Source organism: Homo sapiens, chromosome 20, assembly GCF_000001405.40.
Source record: "Homo sapiens chromosome 20, GRCh38.p14 Primary Assembly".
NCBI lineage: Eukaryota > Metazoa > Chordata > Mammalia > Primates > Hominidae > Homo > Homo sapiens.
The window spans coordinates 42,228,694-42,242,747 of NC_000020.11; the positions used below are offsets into that span (position 1 = coordinate 42,228,694).

The 14,054-nt window shown below is 42.7% G+C and overlaps 1 protein-coding gene across 11 annotated transcripts in view; it reads right to left on the reverse strand.

Annotated features, from left to right (window-relative positions):
* PTPRT (protein tyrosine phosphatase receptor type T) overlaps window positions 1–14,054 on the reverse strand; it is a 1,158,017-nt gene that overhangs the window by 196,804 nt on the left and 947,159 nt on the right. For 5 of the 11 annotated variants that reach the window (XM_047439848.1, NM_001394024.1, NM_007050.6 and 2 more), the window contains one exon: window positions 7,536–7,565. The exons of the other annotated variants lie outside the window; for them this stretch is intronic. In XM_047439848.1, coding sequence (XP_047295804.1) covers window positions 7,536–7,565 — 30 coding nt within the window. The remainder of the gene's footprint in view (window positions 1–7,535; window positions 7,566–14,054) is intronic. 11 annotated transcript variants of the gene reach the window in all.

Sequence of the window (14,054 nt, forward strand, 5' to 3'; positions counted from 1 at the left end):
AATTGGAAGGGTATCAACTCCACACATATAACCACTCATGTATCTTTGTTCATTCATCTAATCAACACAATCTTATGATGCCTGATTTGTCCTGAGCACTGATCTAGTCACTGGGAAATGAATGATGAGTAATACATAGTTCTCCCTACATGGAGACTGACATGCAAAGATGCCAAGGGCAGGATAACCTGGGAAGGGATCATGAATTAGTAAGTCAATGGGTGAAGGAATGAAAGATAAATGCAACGACAAAGATATGAGCCCAGCGCTATGGATATGGTCCATGGAAATTGGAGGGGGCCTCCAAAGTAGAGAACAATGACACTCCCTTTATAAAGATACTGGAGTTTTCTGGGCACACAAGGGGGATAGGAAGAATTCCAGGAAGAATTCACTGCAGGGATAAACATTATGAAAGGGACAATTAAATCAGAGTGATGTGAGGATGCCATGAGAGTTGTTCTCAAAGTCAGCAGGAAAAATAAGAATCTGAGATACTTGTTAAAAAGCAGATCCCCAGGCCATGCTTTTAAGGAGACTGAGCAGATCTGGGGGGTGAGGCTCAGGAATCAGACTTCCCACCAAGGTTCTCCTCTTGGCTGAAGAGCCACACTGCTAGTAACCACTTTAGTCTTGACTGCATGGTAATGTCTTACATTTTCACCTATTAACATGTTTGCTGTTGATAATTTGATATTTACTAGTAATTGATATTTAGCAACTTTAAATGGTTTTCTTCTATTCCTATTTTTTCTTCATTTTTATTCAAAGTGGCTGATAAATTACATTAAATAACTTTTGAGTATCTCTTGATGGAATCATTTTAAAATGCCTGTTTAAATATATTGAAGCAATGATATCTGCTTCACAGCAGCTGATGATGTGAAAAGGCATTTGCCTTTGAAGAAAGGAGCAGTCTCTTATTTTGGTGAGGCCCTACTATGTGCTAGGCATTTTACATTATGTCCATTGAATCTTTGTGAGACTTCTTCTGTAAGATTTGTATTTTTTGTCTCTGTTTTACATACCAGGCAACTGAGATTCAGAAAAAGTTGAGTGGCTTGTTCAGGTCACACAGATGCAAAAATAGAAGCAAAAATGGCCTTAAACCCACAGAAGCAAGGAAGTTACAAGGTCTAGAGTTATCTAAAAAATGATGTCATTTTTTTTTCTTTTCAAGAACAGAGTACCACCCTGTTGACTTTAGCTGTATGTCCGTATGTCTTTTAAATTCATCTTGTTCCTTCACTCATTACACAGGCACTTACTGGGGTTCACTGCATGTGTTAGGAGTTCCATGGAGAATACCCTAATGAGCAAGCAACATCCTTAAGACAAATTTGCTCCTGCCCATAACATAAAGCAACTGCAGTTCAGAGAAAGGCGCCATTCCCACAGGTGGAGAGAATCATGAGAGACTTCTTGTAGAAGGCAGTGTTTGATCTGGACTTTGAAGAATGATATCGGATTTGAATATATTGAGATGGAGGAGATCAGAAGGCTATAGAAAAGCCCAGGAGTCCCATGGAGTATCTGTGGACAGAAACCAGCCCAGGTCACGGTTTTCTGCCTCGGAGACATCTGCACAAGGCATTTGTCCAAGGCTAAGTGAAGTAGTTACGTGCTCTCTCTCAGCCAGAACAATTGGTAAACACCTTCGCGCTTTCTCAAGAACTACTACAGTAAAATACCTCTGTTCAAAACAATTACTGTGCCTATCACACACCTTGAGGTAAATTAACCTGTGGACACATGCCAACTCTTAATATCCTTTAAAAAGGCAAACACTGAACAACTGAAGTTGTTGGGGTCTGCTTTACTACAGAAAGGCAAAAAGGGATCCCAGAGAGGCATTTTTGTCAGCTCAGAATGTGAGGAATAGTAGCTGCTATTTATAAAATACCTACTGTGTGCCAGCCACTCTACATACACACTCTCTCGTTGCCCTTCACCAAAACACTGGGAAGTCACCGCTATTATCATGATTTTCCAGATGAAGAAACTGAGGCTCAGAGTGTTTCTATGAGTGTTCCAGGTGGAAACAATCTCACAGGAGAGGCAAACCTAGAATTGTGAAATAGGCCTGACACCAAAACCCACATGATTCACATTTGTGTGTGCGTGTGCGTGTATACTGGAGAGACAATAATGGGCCTTATCTTTAACTATCCTGTGTCCCTGGGTCCCCAGATCCCTCTGTTCCATAGCTCCATTTTTATTGGGCTGTTATTTATCCTGGTCATTAACACCCCTTTCATAACCTCTTGCTCTAACCCTTTGGCTACCTCTGATGCAGCAGCTCAGTGCCCTCAGCTCTGACTCCTCTCAACATGTTGCCTGTGCACAGCACTGCTTGGAAGACCAGCCACATCATGTGGCCAATCCCCAGGACAGCAGAGACAGGACTGCCCCAGCGGCCTCCTTACCAGCCTGGAATAGCTACCACTTCTTATGCCTAGAAGGGCACTGATGGCCATGCACAGAAACGAGGCCCTACAGGCAGACAGACTTGCATTTGGTACCTGGCTCTTCTTCAACCTGGCTGCTGTGCTCCAAGCACGTGGTCCAGGCAGAAGTGCCCCCATCTCCCAAAGAACAGGGCTTAGTAAGAAGAATGGGTAGGGCTTGTGGGCCATGTGGTCCTGAGTTCAAACTTAACCCTGCTGCATTCTGGCTGTGAGCAATAGACAAGTCTTCAGACTTCAGTCTTAACATCTAAATAAAATCAACAAAATAACATATACTTTGCAGGGCTTGTTATAAGCATTGGGTAAGTATATATAGTAGGGACCAACTGGTAATGCCTTTCAACTTCTGCCCTTTTGTAGTCTGGTATAGGGTGCGCCTTATTCACTTTTGTGCCTGCAACATCAGGCACGGGATAAAGTACATGGCAGGAGCTCAATAAGACAGGATGAATCTTGACTGTCACACTCTTCCTACGCTCAAAACTCTAGGGCAAGAATTGGCAAACTGTGACCTGTGGGCCAAATCTGGCTCACTGCTTGGTTTTTAAAAATTAAGTTCTACTGGAACACAGCCACACTCATTCAAACACATAGCTATGACTTCATGCTACAACATCAGAGTTGAGTAGATGCAACACAGAACACAAGGGTTTGTAAAGCCAAAATTATTTACTGTCTGGCTCCTTATGGAAAATATTTGTGGACCACTGTTCTCATGTAGGGATACTTTCAAAGATGGAGAGCACTTGATGGCCTCTTTATTTTGGGGGAAATATAGAATTCCTCTGCTCCTCCCCCATCCATACTTTATCTCCTCTTTCCCTAGTTTATTTCTTCTTCTTAGCTCTTACCACTACATACTATTTATTTTTGTTATATATGTTGTTTACTTTCTACCTCTTCTACTAAAAAAGCTCCACGTGTGCAGGAATTTTTACTTGTGCTAACTCCTATATACCCAGAACCTTGTCCAATGCCTAGCATGCAGAGGACATTCCACAAATATTGGTGGAATGAATAAACACTGATTTCATTGAAGAGACTGGTGAGCCAAAGTGTGTTGAAGAGAGAACACACTTCAATGAAATCAGTGTTTATTCATTAAAAGGACCAGGTGGCCCCTGATACCTATGAGGAGGGTATTACTTTTCCTATTTTATAGATAAGACAACTGAGACTCCAGTTAAGTCAGTGATTCTCTAACATGCATATGAATCACCTGCGACCTTGTTACAATGCAGATTCTGATTCAGGGGTCTGGGCTGGGGCCCTTGATGCTACCTCTCTGACAAGCTCCCAGGTGATGCTGATGCTACTGGTCCAGGGTCCACACACTGAAGAGTGAGGCTTCAAGGCTCCCCCTCGGGGCATATACTAGCACATGGGGGGCCATCATTTCCTTTCTGTTTCCTCTTCCTCATCTCCATGGCTCTCTCTCAATCCTATCATCTCCAAGGCCTCTCCCTCCTCCCCCACTCCCAGACTGTTCCCTGTCCCCAAACACCTCGCCTCCAGTCCTTCACTTCCATAGCCCCCAACTCCAGTATCTTCAGCCCCTTCCTTCTGCCCAGGCTCCTCCACTATAACTAAATCTTTGCCCAGGACTTTCTGATCTTTCAGGTAGCCAGTATCATGTTTCTTCTCTGTTTTACAAAAAAAAAAAAAAAAAAAAAAAGGTGAAAGGTGATCCTACTCATGGTCCCCAGGCAGGCTGGCTACCTCTTCAACCTTCATCCCTACAACCTGTACAAGTTACTTCTGATGGCCAAATGTCCAGGCTGTGCCCAAACCCACCCCCTCCATCCTCTGCAGCATCTGCTATGGCCAACCAACTCCTCCTGCTGCAAAAGCCTTCTCTTGGGCCTTACGCTTTTCTCCTACCTGTCTGTCTGCTTTGCCAGTTCCTCTCCTCTTCTGATTCTTTAATCATGGTCAGTTCCTGGGCCTCAGCCCCTAGCCCTTAGCCCTCTGTTCTTGTCCCCTTTCTCCAGGCCTGCTTTCATCCACCTGGCACTCTCATCTGCAACCTCTCAGAGGAAGGTTCCAAACATCCACGTCCTACCTAGACTCCACTTCTGCATTTCTAAGTTCCCATGGGATGCTTTTGCTTGGGAGCTCCACCAGCATTCTCACTGCAATATATCCAGAGTCATATGCATATGACTCACATGACCATTTCTCACCCCAAGACGTCTCCATTTCCAGGATAATCAATTCTCCCTCCCATCTACTTCTGGGTAGCTTTGGGGGAATGACTTAGCTTCTCAGAGCAATTTCTTTCCCATTAAATAGGGATAATGGTACCTACCAGACTAGGCTATTCGGAGGACTTAGTGGGCTAATGTATGTACAGACTACTTGGCATGTGGTGGTGGTTTCCTATTCTCCCCTCCTGTATAAATGATTAAATATACCTTACCTGTTCGATCCCTTTAAGTCTAGCAACTGGTTCATCTATCACAAGTGCTTGGTGGTAGTTGGGATGGGAAGATGGTGCTTAAGAGGAAATGTAACCACCTAAGGTTTCTGTATAGAAGGCAGGCTATTTGCAGTGGCATACAATATATGACCGTCATGGGGGCCTTGGGGTTGGTGAATATAAAATGAATATAATTATGGAAACCCTGTGTCCTATCCAGATGCTTCTGCATCCCACTGCTGGTATGAGCTTCCTGCTCTGGGACCTGTGGCACAGAACTTCATGTCTGCACCAATTGAAAGGCCTGTGTTTATCATTGCACCTTCAACTGCAAGTATGTGCAGATCCATCCTCTGTCCTTTCACACTGCTTATCTTGGATTCCACCCCAGCACCCAGCACACAGCACTGTATAAAGTGGGCATTCAAAGACCCTGATAGGCAAACTGGCTGATAGAGGGATGGGGGTTAGATGCCAGAGGTGGTGATGGGTCCCTGTATGCCCACATCTGCTGTGAAACATGCATACCCTAAGAGGCCCTGGAAGAAGAGAGGGGCTCCCAGGGACTACTATTCCTGCCATGAACCCTGTGGTTTCTGAAAGGGGAAATAAAGAAAACTAATATTTCATGAGTGTCAACTTTGTGCCAGGCACTTTACAAAATCATCTCATCTCCTCTTCACAGCAACTCTGTGAGTCAGGCACCATTACCCTCATTTTATAATTAAGAGAAAAGAGAATCAAAAAGTTTAGAAAATTTGCCCAAGGCTCTATAACCAGTGCACGATAGAGGCGGGACATGAGCCCAGAGCTGCGTCACTCCTGAAGCTCATTCTCTTTCCACCATAGCAATGACACACCATATTGTTTCGTACCTCCGTGTCTTTGCAGATGCAGTTTCCTCTAATCAGAATTTTAATTTTTTCAGTAATGGGTAAAGCCATCTCTGAATACACTGATACCTATCCCCTGCCACACAAAAAATTCATCACTCAACTAAGTGTTCCTGTACTACAGTATGTAGAGGCATCTCTCAGCTAACGTTTCTAATAGGTGACGTTATGCTAGTCTCTCAGATAGGCTTGCATACTGTGAGGCTGAACCTCTGGGTTCTAGCCATTTCTTCATCCACACCATATGAAACATAATGTGCATGTTCAAAGCATGTTTGTGGGATGAATGAATAAGTGATCTGGTACTTCCAGTATTGGTGATGGGGGCCCATTTGTTCCCATATAACATGAGGGTGGTAGTACCCGTCCTAAAGACCTGTGGACCCCACACTGAGCAGAGGGGATGGGGAGGCCTTTTGCTGGCTCCATCTTTATCTATGAAGCCTTCAGCAGGTAATGCTATTAGGCACAGCCTCTCTCATAAAGCTGAGTTTGCCAGAGGTGAGGGAAGACATGGAGCGCTAAGCAATACATTTTACCGGAAGCCAGGCATTCTCTGTTTTAATCCCACTCTTTTGCTAGCTGGATGTTCAATGAATTCACATCCTTCAATCTCTTTCTAAGGTCCCTACAACCTCTCAATTTCCAAAAATAGAAAGTGCATATTAGGAATGTGGACTAGTTCAGGGGCTTTCTAACTTTTTATCACCAAGGATCTACTGTACAGAGTTGTTCTCCTTTACTATCATGTTTTGAGCATCTCTGTTGTTGTTGTTATTTATTATTATTATTATTATTATTATTTTGAGATGGAGTTTTGCTCTTGTTGCCCAGGCTGGAGCGCAATGGTACGATTTTGGCTCACTACAACCTCCGCCCTGGGTTCAAGCAATTCTCCTGCCTCAGCCTCCTAAGTAGCTTGGACTACAGACGCCTGCCATCACGCCCAGCTCATTTTTGTATTTTTAGTAGAGATGGGGTTTCACCATGTTGGCCAGGCTGGTCTTGAACTCCTGACCTCAGGTGATCTGCCCTCTCGGCCTCCAAAGTGCTGGGATTATAGGCGTGAGCCACCGCACCTGGCCCTCTGTTTTATTAATAAGAAAAATAATCACTTTTTTTTAGCAAGTGCAAAAAAATGGATAAGCAAGCACCCATCTATAACTCCCAACAAAATGCACTGATAATATGAGATAAATAATGCTAAACACCAAACACATAATCCCAACCCAAAGCAAAGACACTGGATGTTTCTTTCACCTGTGAGGCCGGTTCTAGATAAAGTAATGAATCCCTGCAGACTTTCTGAAATAGCATAAACAGCCAATGAATACCTTTCTAAACTTTGAGCCCCCAGGGCTACCCATTCTCCAAGTAAAAACACATGGATTTAGAAGTTGCTAAGACTGTGATTCTGTCTCATGTGTGCAAGTCCTACAGCAGGATTTGGTCCCCTGCTTGATGGAATTCAGGGATTCCTAACTAGAAAATTACACTCACAAAGGAGAAACAGCCCTTCACATCTCTAAAAATAAGAGGAAAAAAATCCAAGATGGTGGAAACATAACGAACTTGAACAATGACAGTGCACTTTCAAATGTAACACATTTATGCAAAATAAAAACTTTAAGGCTACAGACAACTTAGACAGAAGTGAAAATGAGAAACTAACAGACACTTGGTTGGTGCAGGAAATGCATGCTACAGGTTCCCTTACAGGGCACGAAGCAAAGTTAACACCAGCTCGATACTTACAAGTAATAGGAGTAGGAATAAGCATTTCTTCTATATATTGATGGGCAGTCAGATGAAGGAAATGTCCAAAATGGGGGAAAAAGAAAAGACAAACAAACAAGAATTAGATTTTTAATGAAATCTTGATTCTTAGAAATGCACATATTATTTCAGCATCCCTAAGCTCAAGGAGATGCAAGTTCCTCTACTAATCATCTTCACTGAGAATCAGATATTTCCAGTGGTAGAAGAAACAAGAGAGACCTCTTCTATAATAGGGAAACCCATGGTCTCACATAGAGTAAGCCATGTTTCATGTTGGCTGTTGTAGTTGGTTCAAAGTTCTTCCTTATGGTCAACCAAAACTAGATTCCTTGTAATTATGATTTTTTTTTTTTTTTTTGGTCGGCGGGGTGCAGGTGAGGGTATTGGATCAGCTCTCTGTGGCTTCCTGGGACTAGTCTACCACTCTTCCCTATGATAATGTCCTGTGATCTAAGCAACACCAAACTTCTTCTGTCTCCTCTATTTCAGATAAAGTCACATCAGAGTCTATTTAGTAAGGTCATACCCAAAGCAAGGAAATCATATAGCCAGTACCCAAGATGGCTCCCCAGTGATCTGCACTTCCTAGTATTCAGGCCCTTGTGGACTGCCCTCCCACAGAGTCAGGACTGACCCTGTGTGAATAGAATGTGGTAGGAATTATGTTCTGGGACTTTCCAAGCTGGGGAAAAAAAAGAAGCCTCTCAGCTCTGTCCATAACTCTCTCTTAGAACCCTCAGTCTCCATAGAAGAAGCCCAGTTTCCCTGAGGCTACCATGCTGGAGAGATCACAGGAGAGCCTCTGAGACTACATAAAAAGAAAGAAATGTCCCACCAGCCCCCAGCCATTTTACTTTCAGCCAACCAAGTTATCTCAGCTGAGACCATTGACATTGCGGAACAGAAATAAGTCATTCCCTTCAAGCTCTGCCCAAAGTGAAGACACATGAGAAAAATAAATAACTGTTGCTCTTTAAGCCATTAGATTTTGGGGGTAGTTTGTTACATGGCAGTAGATGACCGGCGCAAAGTCCAACCTTATCTTGGAAGAGCACTGTACTGAGAGAGAGGAGTTCCAACCTTCAGTCTGAACAGACTCTACCTTGAATAAACTCTCTGTTCCTTCATTTCTGCATCTGTCCCTTAGGTCCATTAAACTAGATCAGTAATTTTCCAACTGTGTTCACAGAAGTCTGGGGGTTCTATAGCAGCCACTGTGTAATGAAGAAGGAGGGTACTGAGCAAGTGAGGCTGCTGCCCCCCACCATCCACCAAAGCACCTATTTTATATATTGAAGTTTTATCTATTTTATACTTTGAAGTTTCATTTAAGATATCATATGGCTGAGAATTCCATTCTCCAAAAGAAAGCTTCAAAAATCACTGGCTTCAATCTCTTTCCAATGTTCCTACTGGCTCCTGGCTTCTAAGCAATCACAAAACTCAAATAAAAGCATGATATTCCCTTTGTTATAACTTTTCTTATGTTGTAAGAAAATAAATAGGAGTGTTCTTATTTCACATCAGATTCAGCTATACTGACAATAAATGATACATTTATAGATTGAGAAAAATGGCTAGATAATTCAGGTCTCCAAATATCCATCTGAGTAGACAAGAATGGTTTCCTTTTTTCTTGAACTATTTGATTACTTGCAACCATTATCCCATTTGCTTGGTACAGGAAAATACAGTCGTTATAACTGCAGAGTGGGGGATACGTCTTCACAGCCCCAAATTTTCCCATCTCAAGTAGGAAATATCCAAAACTCCCAAGATGGGGCTATCTCTAGTCTTTCTTTCATCATCTCATCTCCTCTTCACAGCAACTCTGTGAGTCAGGCACCATTACCCTCGTTTTATAATTAAGAGAAAAGAGAATCAAAAAGTTTAGAAAATTTGCCCGAGGCTCTATAACCAGTGCATGATAGAGGCGGGACATGAGCCCAGAGCTGCATCACTCCTAAAGCAAAGCCCAACCCTACACACCCAGAAGGAAAGTGAGTCTAAAAGTTAAGAAGCCACAGAAGAAGGAAAGCCCCATACCTCCTTAGGGGGCTGAGCTAGGGAAAATGAGCCACAGTGCAGCAAGATCTGGCCACATAGAAAACTGTTCAATATCCTGGACTGAAAGAACAGTGACCCTAGATGATGAGAAGGTGAAGGACTGGGGACTGCAATGAGTGGGAATTGGAAGCTCCTACAGAAAGTCATCAAATCCCCTTCACCAGCCATACACGTTAGCACTGTAAGGAGATAATTTCTTTACCTCACTGCTGGCAGGTCCAGTGCCTGGAAGGTGATTCCCCTGGGACACAAAACTCAGGGTCCATTTGATGAAGACTTATAGGACACCTGTGTTCTCTGTATTGTCAAGAACACTGAGCTGAGAATCAAGAGGCCAGCATTATAATCTCAGATCTTTCAATTGCTCATTGTGACATCTTGGGCAAGTAAGTTCTTCTTCTTCCCTTTGGACCTCTATTTCCTGATCCATGCACCAAGGTGGATGGCATAGATGACCGACAGCTCAAACAGCTTTCAGGAGTGGAAATACAATAAGCCTTAGCATCTCAGCACCATCACTTAACTAACTGCATGACCTTGAACAAGTCACTAAACAGCCCTGAGTCCCAGTTTCTCTATCTCAAGCTTGGGGACAATAATTATGTATTCCCAAGAATCACCATAGGCATTAGCATTATATTAATCTAAATTATACTCACATTAGATATGATATGTAATATATAAAGTATTCTATGTAAATTCCATTAATCTAAATTGATATTAGATTATATTAATCTAAACATCTGGAATGTATTAGGGCTCAGTAAAGGGTGGCTTATGTCTGCACCTCATCCACAGAGATAAGGTTTACTGCTTCTTATTCTGGTCACCAGGAACAAAGTGTTCACCTCTTTAGGAATAATAAAATATGAACAAATACTTATTCAGCACTTACTGTGTGCCAGGTATTGTTCTCAGCTTTAGCACACATTAACTCATGTATTCCTCACAGTTGCTCTAAAAGATAGGAATTAGTGCCATTCCCACTATTCTGATGGAGACACTGAGGCAAACAAGAAGTAACTTCAGATCACACAGCTAGTAACTGGATTTGATAGCAACATGGCTATAAAGCTTGTAGCTCATTTTCTTTCTTTTTTTTTTTTTTTTTTTTTTTTTGAGACAGAGTCTCACTCTGTCGCCCAGGCTGGAGTGCAGTGGCGCGTGATCTCGGCTCACTGCAAGCTCCACCTCCCGGGTCCACGCCATTCTCCTGCCTCAGCCTCCTGAGTAGCTGGGACTACAGGTGCCCACCACCACGCCTGGCTAATTTTTTGTATTTTTAGTAGAGACGGGGTTTCACTGTGTTAGCCAGGATGGTCTCGATCTCCTGACCTCGTGATCCATCTGCCTCAGCCTCCCAAAGTGCTGGGATTACAGGCATGAACCGCCGTGCCCAGCCCATAGCTCATGTTCTTGACCTCAAGCCTGTGCTGCTTTCAAGGACAGAAGAAAATGGATATATCTTGAGAAATCTGGGGAGTCAGGCACTGGGATGTCAAAACGTTATCTCTTTCAATCCTCCCCACAACCCTGAGGAGCAGATATAATTACTCTCACGGTTAGCTGAGGAATCTAAGATTATAAGTCCATGCCTCACTAGGTCAAAGGCTTTGTGTATCTTTGGACCAGTTGCAAGGCCTCCATCCTGAGCTGGATGCTCTCACTGTCAGCAGCCACCTCCTCCTCAGCTACACTGAGCATTCTGGACCTTCTAGTTTTTCTGCTGTCAACCTTCAGGATTCACCTCAGCCTGAGCCAAGAAAACATGCTTCCTTCTTCACCTTCAAACCACAGACCACCTTTTCCAAGTTGCTTTTCTGAGTTATCCTGGGTGTCACCAAAAGCCTTCTCGTGCTATCTCTGACCCAGCAGCAAGGCAACTCCAGGATAATGGTAACTGACAAACTTCTATTAATTGAATCTCTTTTCCCAATTAAACTGCAAAGTCTTCTAGGTCAAGTATCACAGGTCTTTATTCTGTGACCAAAACAGTTTACATGTGTGTTTTTCTCTAAGCCTTGAAGAAGATTTACTGAAGGTCTAAATTTACAAGGATACAGTGATATTGCAAGTAACAGATTGCCTGAAACCAAAAATCCTGAGCAGGAAGACAGCTGTGCTTAGAAAAAACAAAACAAAACAAAACAATAACCCCAAACTTAATAAATCACATACTGCAGAACCTTTTTTCAGCTAGCTCACAAGATTGACTTCAGGCACAGTTTTCTTTTGTTCCATACAATTTAAACAGGACAAAGTTGTCTATCTAACGACCCATTTAACCACCTACCCATCCATCTAGATCACAAACCCACCTGTTCAGCCATCTATCCATCCATCCATCCATGAACCTATCCATGCATTCATGCATGCATGCATGCATGCATCCATCCATCCCATCCATCCATCCACCCACCCATCATCCATTTATCCATCTTTCCATCATTAATTCAGCAGAAACTTCTCAAAGGCCTACTATATCCTTATCTCTGTCAAGTACAGATAGAAAGACATATGAGATCCTAATCTAGTCCATATGTCTGATGAGAGAGCCAGACTAGCAAATTATAAAGCAGATGATAATAGCTGTCACTTAAATACTGGGAGATCAATCATGTGTCAGGTACTGTTTTAAGTATATTGCATGAACTATTTTATTTAATCTTCACAATAACCTTATGAGGCATTATTATCCCTGTTTACAGATGAGTAAAGTGAGGCTCAGAGAGGTTAAGGAACTTTCTCACATTTATATAGTTGTTAAGTGGCATGGCAGGGATTTGAATCCAGGGAGTCTGATTTAAAGAGCCTGTATTAATAGCTATTACATTGTATTATCTTCTGTCATGATAAATTGTATGATAAGGCAACACATGGAGCTGTCAGTCCATACCTGGGGATAGGAGTGAGGAGGGAAAGCAGGCAAGATGGCCCAAAATCTGGGATGCCTGAGTGGTAAAGTAAAAGAGAAGTCAGATGGAGGAGAGGGGAAGGGAATTTTTAGGTAGATGGAACTGTGTTTGTGGTTTGGGCAGGTGGGTTAACAAAGTGGGAATGGCAAGATGTTGGAAGGGCTAGTTCCCAAAGAGTTTAAGCAGCTTGGTCTCAGTCCCATAGGTCACAGGGAAAACCCAGGAAGTCATGTGGCCAAATATTTCTTGTAGGTGAATTATTTTTAGCAGGAGGGTGAGGAGAAAGTCAAAGGCAGAGTGAATGTGGTTACACCATCACTGACTGGCCAACACAAGAAATACCAGGGGCTTCCTTTGCAGTGGCCATGGGATGGGGAAGAAAGGTCAGCAGTGTGCAAGGTGTTTAAGACACAAAATCAAAAGGTGATTAAATGTGAATGTATTGAAGAAGACTTCCAAGTTCTCAGCTTAAGTGGCTGTCCACGTGAGTGCAAGCAGAAGGAGCAGGATTCAATTTTCAGGTGTAGAGGAAGGAGCAGTTTAGAACAGGATGAACAGAAGATGACACATTTTGTTTGGGCGTTTGGGCTTTTTTCCCACCTCGATAAATCACTCAAAATTATGCCACAGAATTTGGCATCTCAGCAGGTCCTGTTTTATATTTAATCCAGATTAGATGATGTTTCAGAGTGTGGACTCCATTATCAGATTGTCCAAGTTTGAGACCCAACTCTGCCATTTATTAGGTATGTGATTCCAGGTAATTTCCTTAAACTCTATTTCCATTTCAGTTTTCTGATCTGTAGTACCCTTAATAAAGTGCACTGCTCTTTTAGCTTGGCCTGAGTTAGCTTTTCTGATTGTCTACCCAGAAACAAAACAAAACAAAACAAAATTTTGTGGCAATGTGCTCTCTGAAGGCTCAGACCATGGCATGTCTTCCACATACTGCCTCCAGCCTTGCCTTGCCACCCTCCTACCACAGGACTTGGTGCACGAACCATTAATGCTTAATGTTGACATTTAGGTCTGTTCTCTGAGTGAAGCTCTCTTGTATAATCCATAGAGAGTTGATCTGTTCTAATTCCACTGGGCTCTCCCATTCAACATGTTTTTAGGAAATTCTCAGTATTTGCAAGGCACACTGGAGATGAAGATGAATCAGAATAGACAGCTGATGGTCTAGTGAGGAAATGGGATGCAAATACAAAGGAAAAGTATAAGGCAGAAAATAACATGGGTCCTCCCAGAGGGGATCTAGATGGTGAAGAGATTCTGTCCAGATCAAAGGTCAGGAAGGGTTTATAGGAGAAAGTGCCTACTGAATTAGTCCTTAAACATGGGTAATAGCTGGTCACATGGAGCTGAGAAACACAGGCATTGAAGAAGAAGAAAGTTCGTAAGCAAAACTTATGGAGCAGAGGTGAGACTTTAGGAGACTTGTCAGAAAAACTAAGAAAAAAATAGAAAAACTAAAAAGCTAAGAAGAACTAAGAAACTTGTTTCCATATGG